The 23,109-nt window shown below is 44.2% G+C and overlaps 1 protein-coding gene across 11 annotated transcripts in view, besides 1 other annotated feature; it reads right to left on the reverse strand.

Moving 5' to 3' along the window:
* PPP1R13B (protein phosphatase 1 regulatory subunit 13B) overlaps nucleotides 1–23,109 on the reverse strand; it is a 115,620-nt gene that overhangs the window by 90,988 nt on the left and 1,523 nt on the right. For 2 of the 11 annotated variants that reach the window (XM_047431171.1, XM_017021117.2), the window contains exon 1: nucleotides 22,826–22,953. The exons of the other annotated variants lie outside the window; for them this stretch is intronic. The gene's annotated coding sequence lies outside the window, so the exon portion shown is untranslated. Of the gene's footprint in view, nucleotides 1–22,825; nucleotides 22,954–23,109 lie in introns of those variants that run through there. 11 annotated transcript variants of the gene reach the window in all.
* Nucleotides 22,903–23,102: a silencer, noted in NCBI's record as "silent region_6176". NCBI's record gives its function as "represses an Ori minimal core promoter by ATAC-STARR-seq in GM12878 lymphoblastoid cells {active_cell/tissue: GM12878}" and the evidence as "EXISTENCE:reporter gene assay evidence [ECO:0000049][PMID:35858748]".

Consider the following 23,109-nt stretch of genomic DNA (forward strand, 5'->3'; position numbering starts at 1 on the left):
CTACAGGTGCGTGCAACCACGCCCAGCTAATTTCTGTATTTTTAGTAGAGACGGGATTTCACCGTGTTAGCCAGGATGGTCTCAATCTCCTGACCTTGTGATCTGCCCGCCTCGGCCTCCCAAAGTGCTGGGATTACAGGTGTGAGCCACAGCATCCAGCCCTCATTCTCTTTTTTAAGGCTATTTCTCTATATGATCACATCATAATTTATTTAGAGACAGGCATTATTAGGCAGGGTGCTGTGGCTCACACCTGTAATCCCAGCACTTTGGGAGGCTGAGGTGGGCGGATCACGAGGTCAGGAGTTCGAGACTAGCCTGGCCAATATGGTGAAATCCCATCTCTACTAAAAAAGTACAAAAATTAGCTGGACGTGGTGGCGCACACCTGTAGTCCCAGCTACTCTGGAGGCTGAGGCACGAGAATCGGTTGAACTGGGAGGTAGAGGTTGCAGTGAGCTGAGATCACGCCACTGCACTCCAGCATGGGCGACAGAGCGAGACTCCGCCTCAAAAAAAAAAAAAAGGAGACAGCAAATGAGTGTCTTTAAGTCCACAGTGCCTATGATCATGTGGGTATATAATAAAAGGGTAATAAATATTTGTTGTATGTCACTTTCTTTGTACTACATTTATCTTCCCTACTGGGCCATCACATCTTTCACAATGCCCTGGCATTTAGTCAGAGCACAAATATATTTGTTGAAAGTACAGGCATATCTTGTTTTATTGTGCTTTGCTTTATTGAGTTCTGCAGATATTGCATTTTTTTTAACAAATTGACGGGCTGTGGCAACCCTGTGTCAAGCACGTCTACTGGTGCCATTTTCCAACAGCATGTGCTCACCCATGTGTCACAATTCTCTCAATATTTCAAACTTTTTCATTATTATTATATTTCCTATGGTGATCTGTGATCAGTGGTCTTTAACGTTACTATTGTAATTGCTTTGGGGCACCACAAATAGCACCCACGTAGAACAGCAAACTTAACTGGTAAGTGTTGTGTGTGTTCTGACTGCTCCACCAACTGGCCATTCCCCCATTTCTCTCCCTTTCTCGAGCCTCCCTATTCCCTGAGACACATTATTGAAATCAGGCCAATTAATAACCCTACAGTGGCCTCTAAGTGCTCAAGTGAAAGGAAAGTGACCATGTCTGTCACTTTAAATCAAAAGCTAGAAATGATTAACCTTAAGAGGAAGGAATGTCAAAAGCTGAGATAGGCTGAAAGCTATGTCTCTTGCCAAGTTGTGAATGCAAAGGAAAACTTCCTAAAATAAATTAAAAGTGCTACCCAGTGAACACACAAATGATAAAAGCCTGAAACAGCCTTAGTATTGATATGGAGAAAGTTTTAGTAGTCTGGATCAATAAAATGAGCTATAACATTCCCTTATGCCAAAGCCTAATCCAGAGCAAGGGCCTCTCTTCAATTCTATGAAGGCTGAGAAAGGTGAGGAAGCTGCAAAAGAAAGTTGGAAGCTAGCAGAGGTTGGTTCATGAGCTTCAAGGAAAGAAGTCATCTCTGTATCATAAAAGTGCAAGGTGAAACAACAAGTAATGACAGAAAAGCTGCAGCAAGTTATCCAGAAGATCCAGCTACAATCACTGACGAAGGTGACTACACTAAACAACACTGTAGACAGTGATTTTTTCTTTTCTTTTTTTTTTTTTTTTGAGAGAGAGTCTCGCTCTATCGCCAAGGCTGGAGTACAGTGGCGCAATCTTGGCTCACTACAACCTCCACCTCCCGGGTTCAAGTGATTCTCATGCCTCAGCCTCCAGAGTAGCTGAAATTACAGGTGCCCACCACCAGGCCTGGTTAATTTTTGTATTTTTATTTTTACTATTATTTTTAATTTTTGTATTTTTAGTAGAGACAGGTTTCACCATGTTGGTCAGGCTTGTCTCAAACTCCTGACCTCAGGTGATCCACCTGCCTTGGCCTCCCAAAGTGTTGGGATTACAGCTGCGAGCCACCACACTCGGCCAAACATAACCTATATGCACTGAGAAACCAAAAAATTTGTGTGACTCACTTTATTGCGATTATTTGCTTTATTAAAGTAGTCTGGAACCAAACTCGCAATATCTTCAAAGTAAGCCTTTATAGATTTAACACCCAGGATATAACTACTTCCCGCTCAGCCCAGGCCACTTGACCTTTCTGGATCTCAGGATGCATACACAATTCAAACTTGAAACCCACCTGCTTCACCAGGAGCTTCCCTAACAGGGCTTTCACATAAAGAGGTCTACTCAGGTATTACCATGAGAAGTCAGCATTACAAAGGATCTTAGCAGTTATTAGTCTGGATTTCTCCTCGCTTTATAGTAAGAGAGTTCATAAATTATGGTTTTATGACAAACTAATAAAGCTTCAAATCACAAGAAATACATTGAAAATTTCAAAACAAAAGTACAAAGCAGTTAAGTTTAGATTATGGTAGGTATAGGCCATGCACAGTGGGGAAGACAGGAGGTTGAGACCAGCCTGGGCAACACAGCTAGACCCTGTCTCTACCAAAAAAAAAAAAAAAAAGCCAGGTGCAGTGGCTCATGCCTGTAATCCCAGCACTTTGGGAGGCCAAGGCGGGCAGATCACAAGGTCAGGAGATAGAGACCATCCTGGCTAACAAGGTGAAACCCTGTCTCTACTAAAAATACAAAAAAAAAATTAGCTGGGCGTGGTGGCAGGCGCCTGTAGTCCCAGCTACTGGGGAGGCTGAGGCAAGAGAATGGCATGAACCCGGGAGGCAGAGCTTGCAGTGAGCGGAGATCATGCCACTGCACTCCAGCCTGGGTGACAGAGCGAAACTCCATCTCAAAAAAAAAAAGGCAAAAAAAAGTAGATTAAGGCTGGGCACGGTGGCACACGCCAGTAATCCCAGCACTTTGGGAGGCCGAGGCGGGTGGATCATGAGGTCAGGAGATCGAGACCATCCTGGTTAACACGGTGAAACCCCATCTCTATTAAAAATACAAAAAATTAGCCAGGTGTGGTGGCAGGTGTGGTGGCACGCACCTGTAGTCCCAGCTACTCAGGAGGCTGAGGCAGGAGAATGGTGTGAACCCGGCAGGTGGAGCTTGCAGTGAGCAGAGATCGCGCCACTGCACTCCAACCCAAGCGACAGAGCGAGACTCCAAAAAAAAGACTGTACTAGATACTTTTTGGGGTGGAGAGTGGAATGTGAAAGCAATGAGATTTTGCAAAAATCTAGATGTGTAGTACAGCCTCCAAAAACATTGAGAAACCCATTTCTTATCTCATGGTAGTGTAAAATTTTGGTTTCAGTAATTCCTAGCACCAGACTTCTCCTCTGAATATTAGCCAATACATCACAAACTGCTAGAAAGTTATAGTATGATATAGTATATATCACACTATAGATCTATAGTGTGATATCTGGTGTATGATATATGGTATATATAATACTATAGATATATAGTATTATAAAGTATATATAATACTATAGATATATAAATATAGATATGATATACTATATCATTAACCATAAAGCTTCAGCTTAAGAGACTTCGATAACAATTGGTTGTCACCTAACAAAAAAAGCTAACAAAACACTGAGGTTCATTTTTCCATTACATTTAATCATGGAACTTAGCTACTGTGACTTTATTACCAAAAGTATAAGCAGCTACTATTGCTATTATAAAAACAGCATTTTCCTCTCCTAGTTATCCCACAGAAGCCTTAGTATCTAACTACCAGCAACTCTCAAAAAGGACAAGAAACCAATTGGACCATAAGGTATTCTCTATTAAGAGTGATTTTTAAGAGTTTGTTCAATTCCAGAGGCAAATAACCAACCACACAAAGAGACTAAAATTGGGCTCTAATGTTTTTGTTTTATGGCAAGACATGGCAGTATAAAAAGCACGGCCGGGTGCAGTGGTTCATGCCTGTAATCCCAGCACTGTAGGAGGCCGAGGTGGGTGGATCACCCAAGGTCAGGAGTTCGAGACCAGCCTGGCCAAAATGGTGAAACCCCAACTCTACTAAAAATACAAAAAAATTAGCCAGACATGGTGGCGGGCACCTGTAATCCGAGCTACTTGAGAGGCAGAGGCAGGAGAATCACTTGAACCTGGGAGGCAGAGACTGCAGTGAGCCGAGATCACACCACTGCTCTCCAGCCTGGGCAACAAGAGCGAAACTCTGTCTCCAAAAAAAAAAAAAAAAAAGTGCAAGAAGCCAAAACCCATAGTGTAAGGCAGTGTTACCTTTTATGTAACATAAATTGGTTACATTTACAGGATCACTCATTCATTCATTTAGGAAAATTTTACTCAGCCCAGCTTGGCCCTGGGCCAGGCTCTGAGCTAACTTCTGCCCTCACTAAACTTGGAGCAGACACAGAGAAAGGACAGCAGAAAACTATGGTACAGAACTGCAGAATGCCACGAGATCCCACAGAAGGGCTGCCTGCTCCAACAGGAAAGACTTCCCAAAGGACGCCACGGAAGGTTAAGACAGAAAGGAGTAAGCCACAGATGGAATGAGAGGGTGGGCAGATTATGTCCCAAGAAGACAGGACAGACTGGAAACAGCAGGGCCGGACTGCTAATCAACGGCAGATGAAAGCAGGACTGAAGAATCCCCCATTAGGAGCTGCTTTCTTCTGTGCCAAAAACTTGACATTCAAAGAACCATACGAAGATTTGGTTGTTTCCAGCCATGCGTCTTCATTCTATAAGGTGATAAAGGTCCTCCTCTTACCTGTCTTCCAAGTACTAAATAGTAATCTTTTTATATTTTTATTTTACTTTTGCTACTCTTTTCTACTCTATTAACAAAGAAGTGGAGACTCTCAAAATAATCCAGTGTGTTAAATATACTGACTGCAAAAAAAGATAAAACCATGAAGTCTCCCCAGACATAGTAGGATTCTAAAGTGTTTCAGAGAGAAAGAGTGGCTTAATTGTAACAGTATTAATTAAATGCTGATAAAAACCATCCTCTCAAAATTTTTCTAATTTTAATTATAAATCTAAATCCTTTATTTAATCACACTACTGCTGTGCTTGTTAATGTTGCAGCGAACAAGGAAACTAGTTACCTAAAGACATCAATTAGAAAGCATCCTCACAAAATGACACTTCAACATTTTTTTCTTCACCTGTGAAAACTTGCTAAATGCCTATGTGAAATTAAGCAATCTCTAAAGCAAGAATGTCTTTGAACTATAGTGAATCAAAATAATTTAATGTTTTTAAAAAAAATTTTTTTTTAATACAGACAAGGTCTTTCTATGTTGTTGCCCAGGCTGGTCTCAGACTGCTGCTGGCCTCAAGCAACCCTCCTGCCTTGGCCTCCCAAAATGATGGGATTACAAGAGTGAGCCACCCATATCCAGCCTGACATTTTAAAGATAATAAATATTTTGAGGATAAAAACACACATCTATAGTGTATAGTTACTATACACAAGGGTCTCACTATGCCACCTAGGCTGGAGTTCAATGATACCATCACAGCTCAATGCAGCCTCAAACTCCTGGGCTCAGGCATTTCTGCCACCTCAGCCTCTAAAGTAGCTGGGGACTACAGGTGAGCACCACCACACCTGGCTAAATATTTTACTATTTTTTTTTTAAACGCAGTCTCCCTCTGTCACCAGGCTGGAGTGCAGTGGCACGATCTCAGCTCACTGCAACCTCCACCTCCCGGGTTCAAGCGATTCTCCCGAGTCAGCCTCCCAAGTAGCTGGGACTACAGATGCACGCCACCATGCCCAGCTAATTTTTGTATTTTTAGTAGAGACAGGGTTTCACCGTGTTGGCCAGGATGGTCTCCATCTCCTGATGTCATGATCCACCCACCTTGGCCTCCCAAAGTGCTGGGATTACAGGCATGAGCCACCACGCCTGGCCTGTATTTTTATTTTTATTTTATTTATTTATTTATTTGAAATGAAATCTCACTCTTGTCACCCAGGCTGGAGCGCTGTGGTGCAATCTCAGCTCACTGCAACCTCTGCCTCCCGAGTTCAACTGATTCTCTTGCCTTAGCCTCCCGAGTAGCTGGGATTACAGGCACACACCACCATGCCCGGCTAATTTTTATATTTTTAGTACAGATGAGGTTTCACCAAGTTGGCCAGGCTGGCCTCAAACTCCTGACCTCAGGTGACCTCCCCACCTCAGCCTCCCAAAGTGCTAGGATTACAGGAGTGAGCCACCTTGCCCAGCCTCTTTTAGGTTCTTTTTATGTAACAACTCATTTAAAACTCGTAAAACCTAATGAGGTAGGTACTACTATGCCCTCCATTTTATAGATGAGGAAACTGAGACGCAGAGAAATTAAGTAACTCACCCAAGATTACAGGGCTAGGAAAAGACAGTGTTGAGATTCAAACCCAGATAGTCTGTTCCAAAATCTGTACTCTTTACTGCCTCCCAGTAGTTTTCCAAACATACAAACCAAGTATTCATAACTGAAAACTACTATAATAAAACCCCAGCCATCTATAATCCTTAAGGAATTAATTCTTATGAATGGCAGCATTCTCTGAATGGCTGGGGATTTAACCCTTCCATCTCAGGCAAAATCTGAAATTGTGTTGTGCATATGATGGCCACTGGCACACATGGCTATTGAGAACCTAGGGTATGGTTAAGCCAAATGAGTTGTGTCATATACGTAAAATATGTTCTAAAATTTGAGAGACTTAGTATTAAAAAAAAGAATGTAAACTACCCCACTAATGATGTTTTAATATTAACTACATACTCAAGTAATTTTTTTTTTTTTTTTTTGAGACGAAGTCTCACTCTGTCGCCCAGGCTGGAGTGCAACGGCACGATCTTGGCTCACTGCAACCTCCGCCTCCCGAGTTCAAGTGATTCTTCTGCCTCGGCCTGCCAAGTAGCTGGGACTACAGGCGTGTGCCACCACGCCCAGCTGATGTTTTGTATTTTTGGTAGAGATGGGGTTTCACCACATTAGTCAGGATGGTCTCGATCCCCTGACCTCATGATCTGCCCACCTCGACCTCCCAAAATGCTGGGATTACAGGCATGAGCCACTACGCCCGGCCTCAAGTAATATTTTTTATATAATGAGTTAAATAAAATATATTAAAATTAATTTCAACTTCATTCTTTTACTTTTTTTTTTTTTTTTAGGCAGAGTCTCACTCTGTCACCCAGGCTGGAGTGCAGTGGTGCGATCTCAGCTCACTGCAATCTCTGCCTCCCAGGTTCAAGTGATTCTCGTATCTCAGCCTCCCCAGTAGCTGGCATTACAGGGCGCCTGTCACCACACCCGGCTAATTTTTGTATTTTTAGTACCGAGAGGGTTTCCCCATGTTGGCCAGGCTAGTCTCTAACTCCTGACCTCAAGTGATCCACCCGCCTCAGCCTCCCAAAGTGCTGGGATTATAGGCGTGAGCCACCATGCTCGGCCTCTTTTGCCTTTTTAAAGAGGCTCCTAGAAAATTTTAAATTGTGGCCGGGCGCAGTGGCTCACGCCTATAATCCCAGCACTTTGGGAGGCCAAGGTGGGTGGATCACTTGAGGACAGGAGTTCAAGACCAACCTGGCCAACATGGTGAAACCCCGTCTCTACTAAAAGTACAAAAATTAGCCAGGCATGGTGACACATGGCTGTAGTCCCAGCTATTTGGGAGGCTGAGGCAGGAGAATCACTTGAACCTGGGAGGCGGAGGTTGCAGTGAGCCGAGACCATGCCACTGTACTCCAGCCTGGGTGACAGAGCAAGAATCCATCACAAAAAAAAACAACACCAAAAATTAGCCAGGGATGGTGGTGTGCACCTGTAGTCCCAGCTACTCAGGAGGCTGAGGCAGGAGGATTGTTTGAGTCCAGGAGTTTAAGTCCAGGACTTTACAGTAAGTCTGTCACTGCATTCCAGCCTGGGCAGCAAAGCAAGACCCTATCTCTTAAAAAAAAAAAAAAAGTTATGTTTCTATTGCACACAGCTCATCTAAAATGTATCCAGTTGCTGTCTACATCATTGATATTATTTACTGTTTTCTTGATGACTCAGTCATCATGAGGAACTTTAACTACTACCCTATGTGTAATCTGTCATCTGTAATTGTGACAATTGTTGGGATGACTAAGGTCAGGCTGCCCACCTTCAGACCTCAACCTCAGGTTGTGCTTGAAGCTATACCTCTGTATGATTTCCAGTCTGAGACCACACTCTCCAGCCAGTCTGTCTGCCAACGACTACCCCTCTAGTAATCTCAGATGCAGCTTCTAATGACTTAGAAGCCTGGTAAATTAGAACTGTGTAACATGTAAGAATAAAGGTTATGTGAAGGATTGAAGAAGTCTACAAACTGAATTCAGTTTCAACGCCAAGTTCCTTGACAACTATTTTGATCACTCAGAGACCCTTCTCTGCCTTGACTATTGTAAGGGACTACTCTCTTCAACTCCAGACACTTAAAGGTATCAATTTTAACTTAAATTGCAGCACTTTACATCTCAGCTTAAGATCCATCAGCTGGGCATGGTGGCCCATGCCTATAATCCCAGCATCCCAGCACTTTGGGAGGCCAAGGGGGGGCGGGGTGCAGGGGGAAGAATCACCAGAGGTCAGAGTTCGAGACCAGCCTGGCCAACATGGCGAAACTTCGTCTCTACTAAAAATACAAAAATTAGCTGGGTGTGGTGATGGGCGCCTGTAATCCCAGCTACTTGGGAGGATGGGGCACGAGAATCACTTGAACCTGGGAGGCAGCGGCTGCAGTGAGCCGAGATCGTGCCACTGCACTCCAGCCTAGGTGACAGAGCGAGATTATGTCTCCAAAAAGAAAAAAAAAAAAGATCCATCAATAGTAGTTTCAGTTTGAGAAGATGCAGATAAAAACGTTCTGGAGGTAGATGGTGATAATGGTTGCTAAACAATGTGAATGTACTTAATGCCACAGAACTGTACACTTAAAAATGGCTAAAATGGTAACTCATATTTTAACATTAAAATAATCCTTCAATATTTTCATATCTTTCTCAGGAACAGGTTCAAATTCTTATGTAGGTAATACACTTCCCTCACATCTGGCTTCTACCACTTTTCCAGCCTCATCCCCTTCCTCTTACCTCCTTTGGCCTCATATCCTAGGCAACTTCCCTCAACATACCATGCTGATTCAGACCTCAACATTCTGCATGTCAATCTTTCTACCTGGCCAGGCGTGGTGGCTCATGCCTGTAATCCTAGCACTTTGGGAGGCCGAGGCGAGTGGATCACCTGAGGTCAGGAGTTTAAGACCAGCCTGGCCAACATGGTGAAACGCTGTTTCTACTAAAATACAAAAATTAGCTGGGTGTTGTTGTGCACACCTGTAATGCCAGCTCCTGGGGAAGCTGAGGCATGAGAATCACTTGAACCTGGGAGGCGGAGGTTACAGTGAGACAAGATCGCACTACTGCACTCCAGCCTGGGTGACAGAGCGAGACTCCATCTCAAAAAAATAAAAAATAAAATAAAATCCTTCTACCTAAAAGTCCTTCCCTATCACCTTCACTCCCTCTTCCTCAATCTTCCAAACCCCACTCAAATGTTGCCTCCTCTGTGAAACTTCCCAACATCCTGAGGTTGAGAAGACCTCTCTGCCACCGTACTCTGCTGCACCTTGTATCCTGACTTTTATCTTTTGGAATGGCATGTTTTAGTTACATGATTGTTCTCGACAATGTGAGCTCACCGAAAGCAATGGCTGACCCAGCATGTAAATGATGAATCCTAAAGGCATGCTGAGTTCCTTCAGTAAGCAAGTACATGTTAAATGCCTACCAGAGACCAACAATGTCCTAAGTGCCAAGGATACTGCAGTGGGAAAAGAAAACAAAACTCTGCTTTCATGGTGCTTCCACAAATAAACACCAGGCTGATATAAGTACTACAAAGAGGAACTGGCTGGGCGTGGTGGCTCACACCTGTAATCCCAGCACTTTGGGAGGCCAAGGCGTGTGGATCACTTGAGGCCAGACGTTCAAGACCAGCCTGACCAACATGGCGAAACCCCGTCTTTACTAAAAATACAAAAAACTAGCTGGGCATGGTGGCACACGCCTGTGGTCCCAGCTGCTTGGGAGGCTGAGGCACGAGAATCACTTGAAACCAGGAGGCAGAGGTTGCAGTGAGCCAAGATCATGCCAGTGCACTCTAGCCTCGGTGACAGAGTGAGACTCTGTCTCAAAAACTAGTAAGTACTACAAAGAGGAATAAAGCACAAGAAGGGGAGAGGCATTTCATACAAGATGGAAGATGCCATCGAGGTAGAGACCCCAAGAAGGGCTTTTCAGCTGACTGACAGGACACTGCATGAAGTGAACCTTATTCTGGTTCTGAGTCAGGTCTGGAAAACAGAAAGCACTGCACAGGGAAGGTAAATTTTAATGTCTTTTTTTTTTTTTTTTTTTTTTTTTTGAGACCGAGTTTCGCTCTTGTTGCCCAGGCTGGAGGGCAATGGAGCAATCTCGACTCACCACAACCTCCGCCCTCCGGGTGCAAGTGATTCTCCTCCCTCAGCCTCCTGAGTAACTGGGATTACAGGTACCCACCACCATGCCTGGCTATTTTTTTTGTATTCTTAGTGGAGATGAGGTTTCACCATGTTGGTCAGGCTGATCTTGAACTCCTGACCTCAGGTAAGCCACCCACCTCGGACTCCCAAAATGCTGGGATTACAGGCGTGAGCCACCGCACTGGCTAAACTTTGATTTCTAAGAAAAGCAAACTATTCTCTCTCTGTCCATATTAACTTAATAGATTTTGCAATTAACCACCTAGCTACTCTCAGCATGAAGGGCACAAGCATTCTGCTTCAGAGTAATAGGGTAATTGTGATCCTTTTCTGACTGAATCTTGTTTGCTAAGAAGAAGCCTCATGGTTGCTGGAGAAAACTTAAAGTACTCAGTAAACATTTGCTCTTTTTTTTCTTTTAGACAGGATCTGTCTGTACTCTGTACAGCCTGTACTCTGCCAGGCTGGAGTACAATGGCATGAAGACGGCTCACTGCAACCTCCACCTCCCAGGCTCAAGCGATCCTCCTACCTTGGCCTCCTGAGTAGCTGGGACCACTGGTGTCAGCCACCATGTCCAGCTAATTTTTGTATTATTTTGGTAGAGATGGAGTTTTGCCATGATGGCCAAGCTGGTGTTAAACTCCTGGGCTCAAGCAATCCTCCCACCTCTGCCTCCCAAAGTGCTGGGATTACAGGCATGAGCCACTGCGCCCAGCACTTTTTTTTTTTTTTTTTTTTAAAGAGACCAGGTCTTGCTCTGTTGCCCAGACTGAAGTACAGTGGTGTGATCATACCTCACTGCAGCCTCAACTTCTGGGTTCAAGCGATCCTAGTGCCTTAGCCTCCTGAGTTGCTGGGTCTACAAAGGCATGCCACTATGTCCTGCTAATTTTTATTTTTATTTATTTATTTTTTTTTTGAGACGGAGTCTCGCTTTGCCGCCCAGGCTGGAGTGCAGTGGCACGATCTCGGCTCACTGCAAGCTCCGCCTCCTGGGTTCATGCCATTCTCCTGCCTCAGCCTCCCAAGTAGCTGGGATTACAGGCGCCCGCCACCATGCCCAGCTAATTTTTTGTATTTTTTAGTAGAGACGGGGTTTCACTGTGTTAGCCAGGATGGTCTCGATCTCATGACCTCGTGATCCGCCTGCCTCGGCCTCCCAAAGTGCGGGATTACAGGCGTGAGCCACTGTGCCTGGCCTTTAATTTTTTTTAATATAGACAGGGTCTCACTATGTTGCCCTGTCTAGTCTCAAACTCCTAGCCTCAAGCAATCCTTCCCCCTTGGCCTCCTGAAGTGCTGGGATTGCAGATGTAAGCCATGGCGCCTGGCCTACTGACTTTTTTTTTTTTTTTTAAGACACAGTCTCACTTTGTTGCCCAGGCTGGAGTGCAGAGGCACGATCTTAGCTCACTGCAATTTCCGCCTCCCAGGCTCAAGCAATTCTCCTGCCTCACCCTCCCAAATAGCTGAGATTACAGGCGCCCGCCACCACACCTGGCTGATTTTTATATTTTTAGTAGAGATGGGGTTTCACTATGTTGGCGAGGCTGGTCTCGAATTCCTGACCTCAGGTGATCCGCCTGCCTTGGCCTCCCAAAGTGCTGAGATTACAGGCGTGAACCACCATGCCCAGCCCCTAACTACTTATTACATATAGTAACAGACAATGCTCTAAGCACCTGACAATCCTAACAGTATCATGAAATATAGTGTTATTAAACCCATTTTTACAAATAGGAAAATAAGGCACAAAGGGGTTAAACAATTTGTCCAAAGTTGGCTGGACGCTGTGGCTCATGCCTGTAATCCCAGCACTTTGGGAGGGAGAGGCAGGCGGATCATGAGGTCAGGAGTTTGAGACCAGCCTAGCCAACATGGCGAAACCCCATCTCTACTAAAGATAAAAAAAATTAGCTGGGCGTGGTGGCACGCACCTGTAATCTCAGCTACTCGGGAGGCTGAGGCAGGAGAATCACTCAAACCTGGGAGGCGGAGGTTGCAGTGAGCCAAGATAGCGCCATCGCACTCCAGCCTGGGCAACAGAGCAAGAGTCTGTCTCAGAAAAGAAAAAAAAAAAAAAAAAATTGTCCAAAGTCACAGAGTTAGTAAGAGGCAAAGCCAGAATATACAGTCTCGGGTCTGGACTTGCTGATAACCACTATGCTCTACACTTTCACATCTGTATTTCCCATCACAAATACTAGCTCTATCACAAAAATCTCTGTTTATACTTTGGTAATTTGTGATGTTGACTATTATTTACTGATACTATTTTCAAGAATGTCATTGGATAGAAATACAAACATGCAACTGAGTAAAAAGCAGGACACAAGAAATCAACACAGACAGAAATTACACCTCTACAAAAAGTGTACATATAAACTCTGCCAGGTGCCTGGAGCACAAAGATGGACAAAGTGAGTCCAGTCCCTGCCCTGAGAACCTTGGTCCAGTGGGCTCAGGGTGACGCTCATCAGGCAAACCGGAAACACAGGGAGGACGTGTGTGGGTGCTGCAGATGCCCAGGCAGCAATCCAGAACCCACTATGCTAAAGCCACTGAACATAGGCAAAAAGTTTTATTTAACATATCTATTTTACCTTAAGATTTAAGGATAACATCTTTCTGGACATGGCAGGCATCTATCTCAAGCTCCACACAGCCAAAATAAAACTCCTTATTCTCACAACCCTTTAAACTTACTCCTTTCTCAAGCAGTATTTTCTATCTTAAAGGAAAGGCAAGCCTGGCTGCTGAAGCAATAAATCTGTTATCCTCAATTCCAGCTATCTCCCTCCCTCCCTCCTTCCTTCCTCTCTCTCTCTCACACACACTTACATGTGCATGCACGCAAGCACTCACTCCCTCACATGCACACATTCACACGCACACATACACACACTCTCCATCCGATCTATTTACTGCTTTTCAACTGGATCTTTCTCTTCTTCAGGTCCTCAAGTCAGGCCTACAACAATTTGTTTCCTAACTACTCTTCCTGTTTATTTTTAATCTCCCTTACTGCACCAACTATCTCTCTTCCAATAATTCTGGCTCTAGAATTATCTTTCTATCATACAAACCTGACTCTATCACTCCACTTTTTAAAAACATTTGGTGGTTTCTGGCTGGGCATGGCAGCTCACAACTGTAATCCCAGCACTTTGGGAGGCCAAGGCAGACAGATCACCTGAGGTCAGGAGTTCAAGACCAGCCTGGACAACATGGTGAAACCCCATCTCTAATAAAAATACAAAAATTAGCCAGGCATGGTGGCGCACACCTGTAGTCCCAGCTCCTCGGGAGGCTGAGGCAGAAGAATCGCTTGAACCTAGGAGGCGAAGGTTGCAGTGAGCCGAGATCACACCACTGCACTCCAGCCTGGGCGACAGAGTGAGACTCCATCTCAAAATAAACAAATAAATAAAGTAAATAACAACAATAAAAACATTTGGTGGTTTCTGATCATCTCTACAGGATCAAGTCTAACTCTGTTATGGCACACACACACACACACACACACACACAGACACACACAGCTCTTCACAATGGGGTCCAACAGGACCTTCCACATCATATCTTTCTTCATTCAACAAATATTTATTTAGCACCAACTATGTGTCAATCACTGGGCTAAACGGCAGTGGTATAATGGGAAACAAAAAGAGAGAGCTCCTGCTCTCATGAAGCTCACAGTCTAGGACAAGAAACAGAAATCAACCAGTCACACAAACAAATGTTTAAGATTACAACTAAGACAATTACTGCAAAGAACCTCCAAATAAAATAATCTGAAATTAGACAGTGGCAATAGTTGTCTCGTGCATATACTGAAAACCAATGAACTGTACACATTAAAAGGTGAATTTTATAGCACATGAATTATACCATATCCCCCTCCCCAGAAAAAGACACGGCAGGGTGAGCACCTCTGATGGTGGAGTTGGCTAAGGCAGAGACGGTGAAAACTTTCCAGAGGAAATAACAGAGCTTACAAATAACATATTTACTGAGCATTTACTACATGCCAGGCAACTTTCACCGTACTAATGCATCTGATCCTCCTACCAACAATGTAAAGTTACTATTATGCTCAACTCAGAGGTAAGTGAGGGGTCAAGTAACTTTAAGGTCAGAGAGCCCACAAATGGCAATGCCAGCATCCATATTTAAGCAGAATAAAGTGAGGGTCTGCACTCTTACCTGCTACAGTAAAGTCACCTAGGCAATGACTATTACTCAGAACTACTTACGATGCAATAAACACAGACCACTGTGTTTCATTTCTTTTTCTTTTTTTCTTTGAGACAGAGTCTTGCTTTGTCACCCAGGCTGGAGAGCAGTGGTGCAATCTCGGCTCACCGCAACCTCTGCTCACCGCAATCTCTGCCTCCCAGGTTCAAGCGATTCTCCTGCCTCAGCCTCCCAAGTAGCTGTGATTACAGGCACGTGCCACCACACCCAGCTAATTTTTTGTATTTTTAGTAGAGACGGGATTTCACCGTGTTAGCCAGGATGGTCTTGATCTCCTAACCTTGTGATCTGCCCACCTCAGCCTCCCAAAGTGCTGGGATTACAGGCGTGAGCCACAGCACCCAGCCCACTGTGTTTCATTTCTGATAAAAGAAATCTCTCGCCGGGCACAGTGGCTCACGCCTGTTAACCCCAGCACTTTGGGGGGTTGAGGCAGGCAGATCACCTGACGTTGGGAGTTTGAGACCAGCCTGACCAACATGGAGAAACCCCATCTCCACTAAAAATACAAAATTAGCCGGGCGTGGTGGTGCATGCCTGTAATCCCAGCTACTCGAGAGGCTGAGTCAGAAGAACCCCTTGAACCTGGGAGGTGGAGGTTGTGGTGACCCAAGATCATGCCACTGCACTCCAACCTGGGCAACAAGAGCAAAACTCTGCCTCAAAAAAAAAAAAAAAATCTTTCTATCTCCTTTGTCATTACAATAGCCTCTAAGGCCCTACAAGATCAATCCTACACTACTCTCTCCATCACCTGACTTCACCTCCTCCACTTTCCCCCTTACTCACTCTGCTCCAGCCACACAGGCCTACTTTTGTTTCTCCAGCATGCTGGGCATGCTCCTACCACATGGCGTTTGCATTTTCTTGAGCTATGATAATTACAATCACAACATGTGGCATAAATCATGATTCTGCTAAAACCTCAGTTAACATTTTCTCTAAACACATCAATAATGCCACTAACAAGATCTTGTACTGAACTGTACACTAATATTTCAAATGTCATAAATTTTAATAAAAACTACCTAAATTTTCCAGTTTTATATTGTTCTATATGATATCACCAAAGATTCTTATTTTACAAAATCCAGTAACAGCAGCTTTTGCTTACCAATTAGTCTGAACAACAGTCATATAGCTATCTCTGCAGTGAAATAAAGCAAAGCAATCAAGCCAAGAAAGTGTCACAATAGAATCTGATTACCACCATTCCTCTGTTTAGCCCTAGAACCACAGTTTGTGAAATAACTATGACAACAGCATTTCAAGGCACCAAAATCCCACCACACTTTTGCTGAGAAAGTATTCTCCATCTGTGCAAACACATACAAACGCATGTTGACAACCAGTTATATAACTTCAATACAATAACCCAGTGATATTTTAAGTTCTTATTTTGCTAAAAATCCTAAGAAACTGTTAATCCTAAAACCGTTCAGAGTAGGATGCTGAGAAAGGAATGAAGAAAATACATTTAACACATTTACATTTAAAACTGAGTTGTCCCTAAACTCCAGGTGGAAAAAACTACCTCTTTTTGGCAGGGCGCAGTGGCTCACGCCTGTAATTCCAGCACTTTGGGAGGCCGAGGTGGGCAGATCATTTGAGGTCAGGAGTTTGAGACCAGCTTGGCCAACATGGTGAAACCCTGTCTCTCCTAAAAATACAAAAATATTAGCTGGGTGTGGAAGCACATGCCTGTAAACCCAGCTGCTTTGGAGGATGAGGCAGGAAAATTGCTTGAACCTGGGAGGTGGAGGTTGCAGTAAGCCGAGATGGCACCCCTGCACCCCAGCCTGGGCAACAGAAGGAGACTTCCTCTCAAAAAAAAAAAGAAAGAAAGAAAAGAAAAGAACATTATTGTGTATTTTGAAACAGGAGAGCCACTGAAATGTTCCCAACACATGGAAATGGTAAGTGCTAGAAGCAATGGATATCCCAAATACCCTGACTTGATCATTACACATTCTATGCATGTAACAAAATATCACATATACCTCAGAAACATATATAAACATATTAATTAAAAATTTTTTTTGCCAGCAGCAGTGGCTCACGCCTGTAATCCCAACGCTTTGGGAAGCTGAGGCGGCATGTCACCTGAGGTCGGGAGTTCAAGACCCGCCTGACCAACATGGAGAAACCCTGTCTCTACTAAAAATACAAAATTAGCCAGGCATGGTGGTACATGCCTGTAATCCCAGCTACTCGGGAGGCTGAGGCAGGAGAATCACTTTAACCCAAGAGATGGAGGTTGCAGTGGGCTGAGAGGGTGCCACTGCAGTCCAGCCTGTACAACAAGAGCGAAACTCTGTCTCAAAAAAAAAAATTTTTTTTAGGCTGGGCGCGGTGGCTCAAGCCTGTAATCCCAGCACTCTGAGAGGCCGAGGCGGGCAGATCACTTGAAGTCAGGAGTTTGTGACCAGCCTGGCCAACGCGGTGAAACTCCATCTCTACTAAAAATACAAAAAAATTAGCCAGGCATGGTGGCGGGCGCCTGTAATCCCAGCTACTCAGGACGCTGAGGTGGGAGAATCGCTTGAGCCCTGTAGGCAGAGATGGCAGTGAGCCGAGATCACACCACTGCACTCCAGCCTGGGCAACAGGTCAACACTCCAACTCAAAAAGAAAAAAAAAGAAAAAAAAATTTTTTTAAATATTGTCCTGTCTTTGGTGTTTGTTTACTGAATTAGGCTGTAAAATCAAGCTTATCAAGTCACCTAATTCTTAATTAAAAAATAGTAGCAAACATTTACTGAGCTCTTACTATCTGCTCTGTCATAAAAGATGCTTCGGAAATGAAAGAGTTTACTAGAAGCCTGCCAAAACAAGTGTCAAGTTGCCTCAACCTTTGATGAAGCGAATATGAATATTAGAGAACTTCATGCAAGTATCTGCTATAAATCAGCTACTGGACCAACCATAAATGCCTGAAAATTACCACATCCACCTCATTTTACAGATGAGAAACTGAGGCCCGAAGAGACTAAGTCCAAAGGTCCTCACTAACAAGTAGGAGCAAGAACCCTATTTCCAGTTCAGGGTTTTGTTGTCAATTACGTGTTATTTGTTTATTTAAAAAAGAGAAAAACCTATTCTAGTATCTCAAAATGCTTCTACATAGTTGGGAAGAAAATGAATACCTAGAATAAGTAAATATTTAATGAAAGCTAAATACTGAAAACAAATTAATGTCATCCCTACCCTGCAGTAAACATGCTGAAAGGGCTCCTAGGACAGAAATAAGTAGAATCATAGCCACACTTCACAGCATCTAGTAGAAGTTAGGTGCCCCATTGCTAACATCACCAAACACCACCACCAGAGTGCCTTCTTTTTTTTTTTTTTTTTTTGAGATGGAGTCTTGCATTGTCACCCAGGCTGGAGTGCAGTGGCACTGTCTCGGCTCACTGCAACCTCCGCCTCCCAGGTTCAAGCGTTTCTTCTGCCTCAGTCTCCTGAGTAGCTGGGACTACAGGCACCCTCCATCACACCTGGCTAATTTTTGTATTTTTAGTAGAGATGGGGTTTTACCATGTTGAGCAGGCTGGTCTTGAACTCCTGACCTCAGGTGATCTGCCCATCTCAGCTTCCCAAAGTGCTGGGATTACAGGCGTGAGCCACCATACCAAGCCCAGAGTACCTTCTTTATGAAGAGAAAACACTTCAGAGCTACAGAACAGTTCTTGACTCGTCGATACTCTTTTGGAAAAGAAAAAGTATGCTGGCCGGGCTCGGTGGCTCACACCTGTAATCCCACCACTTTGGGAGGCTGAGGCAGGTGGATCACCTGAGGTCAGGAGTTCAAGACCAGCCTGGCCAAACATGGGGAAATTCCACCTCTACTAAACATGCTAAAATTAGCCAGGCATGGTGGCATGCCCCTGTAATCCCAGCTCCTTGGGAGGCTATGGTGGGAGAATTGCTTGAACCCGGGAGGCGGAGGTTGCAGTGAGCCAAGATCGCGCCACTGCACTCCAGCCTGGGCAACAGAGTGAGATCTTGTCTGAAAACAAACAAAAAAAGTATCTTAAGCAACATTCCCCACATATATCTCATCTATGCACGAAAAGTTTTACTAGCTACAAAACGTCCACACTCTTTCAAAAAGAAACGATGCTGAGCTAGGTGCGGTGGCTCACGCCTGTAATCCCAGCACTTTGGGAAGTTGAGGTGGGCAGATAACTGGAGGCCAGGAGTTCGAGACCAGCCTGGCCAACATGGTGAAACCCTGTCTCTACCAAAAATTTGAAAAAATTAGCCAGGCATGGTGGTGTGCACATGTAGTCCCAGCTACTGTGGAGGCTGGGGCACGAGAATCACTTGAATCCAGGAGGCAGAGGTTGCAGTGAGCTGAGATCCTGCCACTGCACTCTAGCCTGGGTGACAGAGCGAGACTCTGTCTCAAAAAAAAAAATAAATCATGCTGAATCAAGGCAGTTTTCATCCTTTCTATAATCTAAATTGGGCTTTCCATTTTTACTAAAATTCTTACTTCTATCAAACTTGTAAATGCTTTCAGGGCCAGATCTTAGGGACTAAACAAAAAGTATTATTTAAATGGTACCATTTTTTCCTGGGAAAACATTTTTAAAATGTCATCCATTGATAAAAAGGTGAGTGACTACCAATAACAACAACAAAAAAATACTATTTTCATAAGGGAAAATTCCAAAATATAATTTAGTTTAGAAGTGGAAAGGACGGCAGAGCGCAGTGGCATACGCCTGTTATCCCAGCACGTTGGGAGGCTGAGGCAGGCAGATCACAAGGTCAAGAGATCAAGACAATCCTGGCCAACGTGGTGAAACCCCATCTCTACTAAAAATACAAAAATTAGCTGGGCGTGGCGGCGCACGCCTGTAGTCTGAGCTACTTGGTAGGCTGAGGCAGAAGAATCACTTGAACCCAGGAGGCAGAGGTTGCAGTGAGCCGAGGTCATGCCACTGCACTCCAGCGTGGCGACAGAGCAAGACTCCGTCTCAAAAAAAAAAAAAAAGTGGAAAGGCCAGGTGCAGGGGCAGAGGGGTGGCTCACACCTGTAATCCCAGCACTTTGGGAGGCTGGGGCGGGCAGATCACTCAAGCTCAGAAATTCGAGACCAGCTTGAGCAACAAGGTGAAACCCCGTCTCTACTAAAAATACAAAAATTAGCCGTTTGCCGTGGCGTGTGTCTGTGGTCCCAGCTACTCGGGAGGCTGTGGCATGAGAATCACTTGAGCCTAGGAGGCGGAGGTCGCCGTAAGCTGAGATCGTATCATTGCACTCCAGCCTTGGCAACAGGAGTGAAACCCTGTCTCGAAAAATAAAAAAAAAAAGAAGGTGGAAAGTCACAGCACTTTGTACGACAGCAAATAGAAGACTTCTACAGAGATTTGATTGTGTCAGATGAGAATTTGGCCACTCACTCTCATTTATTCTCAACAGCTGAGAGACTGGGCACTGTAGTACACCATGTGATTAATTAAAAGTTACCACATGGCCGGGCGCAGTGGCTCATGCCTGTAATCCCAGCACTTTAGGAGGCCAAGGTGGGCAGATCACCTGAGGTCATGAGTTCAAGGTCAGCCTGCCCAACATAGTGAAACCCTGTTTCTACAAAAATACAAAAATTAGCCAGGCAGGATGGAGGGTGCCTGTAATCCCAGCTACTCAGGAGGCTGGGGCAGGAGAATCTCTCGAACCTGGGAGGTGGAGGTTGCGGTGAGTCAAGATCATGTTGCACTCCAGCCTGGGCAACAGAGTGAGACTCTGTCACAAAAAAAGAAAAAAAGAAAAAAGTTACCACGACATTATATACTAATTGCCAATTTTCAAATAAAATAAAATATACTCTAAGCCTATGTTGTCCAATATGGTAGTCACTAAGCACATGTAGCTACTGAGCACTGGAAATGTGCTAGTCTGAGCTGAGGTGTGTGCTGTAAAATGCAAACTGTCACCGGATTCACACCAGATTTCAGACACTTAGTACCAGAAAAAATGTATAATATCTCATTAGTGGTTTTTTCATATTGAATACGTGTTAAAATAATATTTTGGATATGCTAAGTTAATAAAAGGATACTACTAAAATTAGTACTTTTTCAACTTGTTTCATGTAGTTACCACAAAATTTAAAATTGCATTTGTGGCTTGCTTTACATTTTTATTGGACAGTACTGCTCTACACAAACTGCAAAATATGACCCAACGTTCCTTTGATTCATCATCATCATGATGAATACCAAATATACAATAAATCGAGAAAAATCTTATTTACATTTTTGGATAGTTTAAAATATTACCAAGTAAGAATGGCATTTCTGAAAACTCCTACTAAATTTACAACCAACTCCAACTGTGTTAATAGAGGAAGGACTCAGTCCTACAAGTAGTATTTTTAGGGATCAAAAAGGAAATACAAAAGTAAAAGCCATACATGAGAGTCTAAGAGAAATACCATCTGTTTCTAAAAGGCATTTTTAAACAAAAGCGGTGTTTTAAACAGGTAATAGACCTGTTTTTTTAAAAAACAGTATTTTATTGTTTTGAGAAATCCGAAGAAATGCCCCAATTCCCAGCTAAACAAACCTCTTAAAAAGGAAACCTGTGAAGGTAGGAACTCAAAACTCTACTCCCGTGGAATAGAGGTAAGATGTCTGAATGAATCATATGGAAAATGTAAGCCAAGTTTCTTAGCAGGATATTTATAATTAAACATTATACAACGACGAAGCCAGCCAAAATTTTTCTAGATATCCTTCAATGCCACCACAGTATGAATGCATCAATCAACTATTACAGGATTTAACTAAAACTACTTTCAAAATTCTGAAACACCATAATGCCTTTCATCAAAATCTAGCTAGTGAGAATTAGGGAGGGAAGTTTCCAAATGCCTTATCTTATAAAGTTAGAAATTGAAAATTCAAAGCCATATTAAGAATAATAAATATTTGTATGACATTCTGTTCAACCATCACTTTTGGATACATCATCCTATTTGATCCTCAGGACAGCGCTCAGATATTGGTACATTTTTATCCCTACTTTAGAGGTAATTCCAGGCTCAAAGACCTTGACTTCTTCAAGGTCACATAGCTAAAAAGTGGAAGAACCAGCGTTTCACCCCAGATCTTCTGATGCTCATCCAATTCTCTTTCCATTACAAGACAATTATTCATTTAAAACCAAATGTTTAGAAACCCAACAAGTCTGATGCTAAAGAAAGACCTAAGGATCAAGTAGATCAAACCTTAAGACTTGGAAAACGCTGAAAGCCGGCTACAAAACATGCTGGAATCCGTTAAAAACGGGGAGAAGAGATTATCAAGAGAAAGGAAATCAAAGAGGAAGAAGGGGGATCTAATCTAAATGTCCTTGGGTGCAGCATAGCAGAATGGCAATATTCAAGTAGAGAATGCAGGGAAACTGCACTTTCCTGTGAAATGTGATTTTCAACGTAGTATTGTAGGTTAAAAAAATGACTGTGTTACTTTACTATAAACGTGTTTGAGAATTTTACTTACGATATAGGCGCTCAGAAAACCAATACCTCTCCAACTGGGTACAACCAGTCCCACATTTTTTCATAAGTCATGATGCTTACCTCCCAAAAAGCCAATTTTTAAAAATCAGAATTCAGCATCCCCTCCTATTCAGATTATAGGTAAAGGGAAGGGTCGGTAGGACGATGGCAAATCTAATGGCCAATGTCTTTCTAGGCGAAAGCATCCTTAAGGGCAGGACAAAGACACCACCACTACAAACGAACCTCGTTCAACCTTCAGAACACGGAGAACAAACCAGTTAAAGCAAAACGAACCAACATTGCAGATACGGGAAAAGGGAATTCCTAAGATGGCTCTCCAAATCCGTGCACTCGGCACCTTTCCTCAGTACAACCGCGAAGGCTACGGGAATGCGCCTGCAGAGTGTGGGAACTCCGGGCGCGGGTGCCCACCCCGCCGACTCCCAGGGCGACCCCAGAACGTTCGTTTCAGGCGGGTCACAGCTGCGCCACCCACCAGACCTGTGCCCCAGCGTCCGACCGCGCACCTGAGAGGACCGAGGAGATGACCGGCCCCAAATGCATCTGCTTCTCCCCGCGGCCGCGGAGGCCGAGCAGGAAGGGCCCGCAGGCGGCCCCGGCCCCGCGCTGACAGCCCGGCGCCGCCCCCACCTGCCCGCCTGGGGGGCGCCGCGGCCGGGCGCGCCCGCCCAGCCACTTCCTTCCCCGCCCGCCCGGCCTCGCACCGGCCCGCGGGGGCTGGGAGCCGCGGGAGGAAGGAGGTTTGGCCAGCGGCCCGCGGAGGAAGCCGCCGCCACCTCCCGCCCGCCCT

The sequence above is a fragment of the Homo sapiens genome, chromosome 14 (assembly GCF_000001405.40).
Source record: "Homo sapiens chromosome 14, GRCh38.p14 Primary Assembly".
NCBI classification, from domain to species: domain Eukaryota; kingdom Metazoa; phylum Chordata; class Mammalia; order Primates; family Hominidae; genus Homo; species Homo sapiens.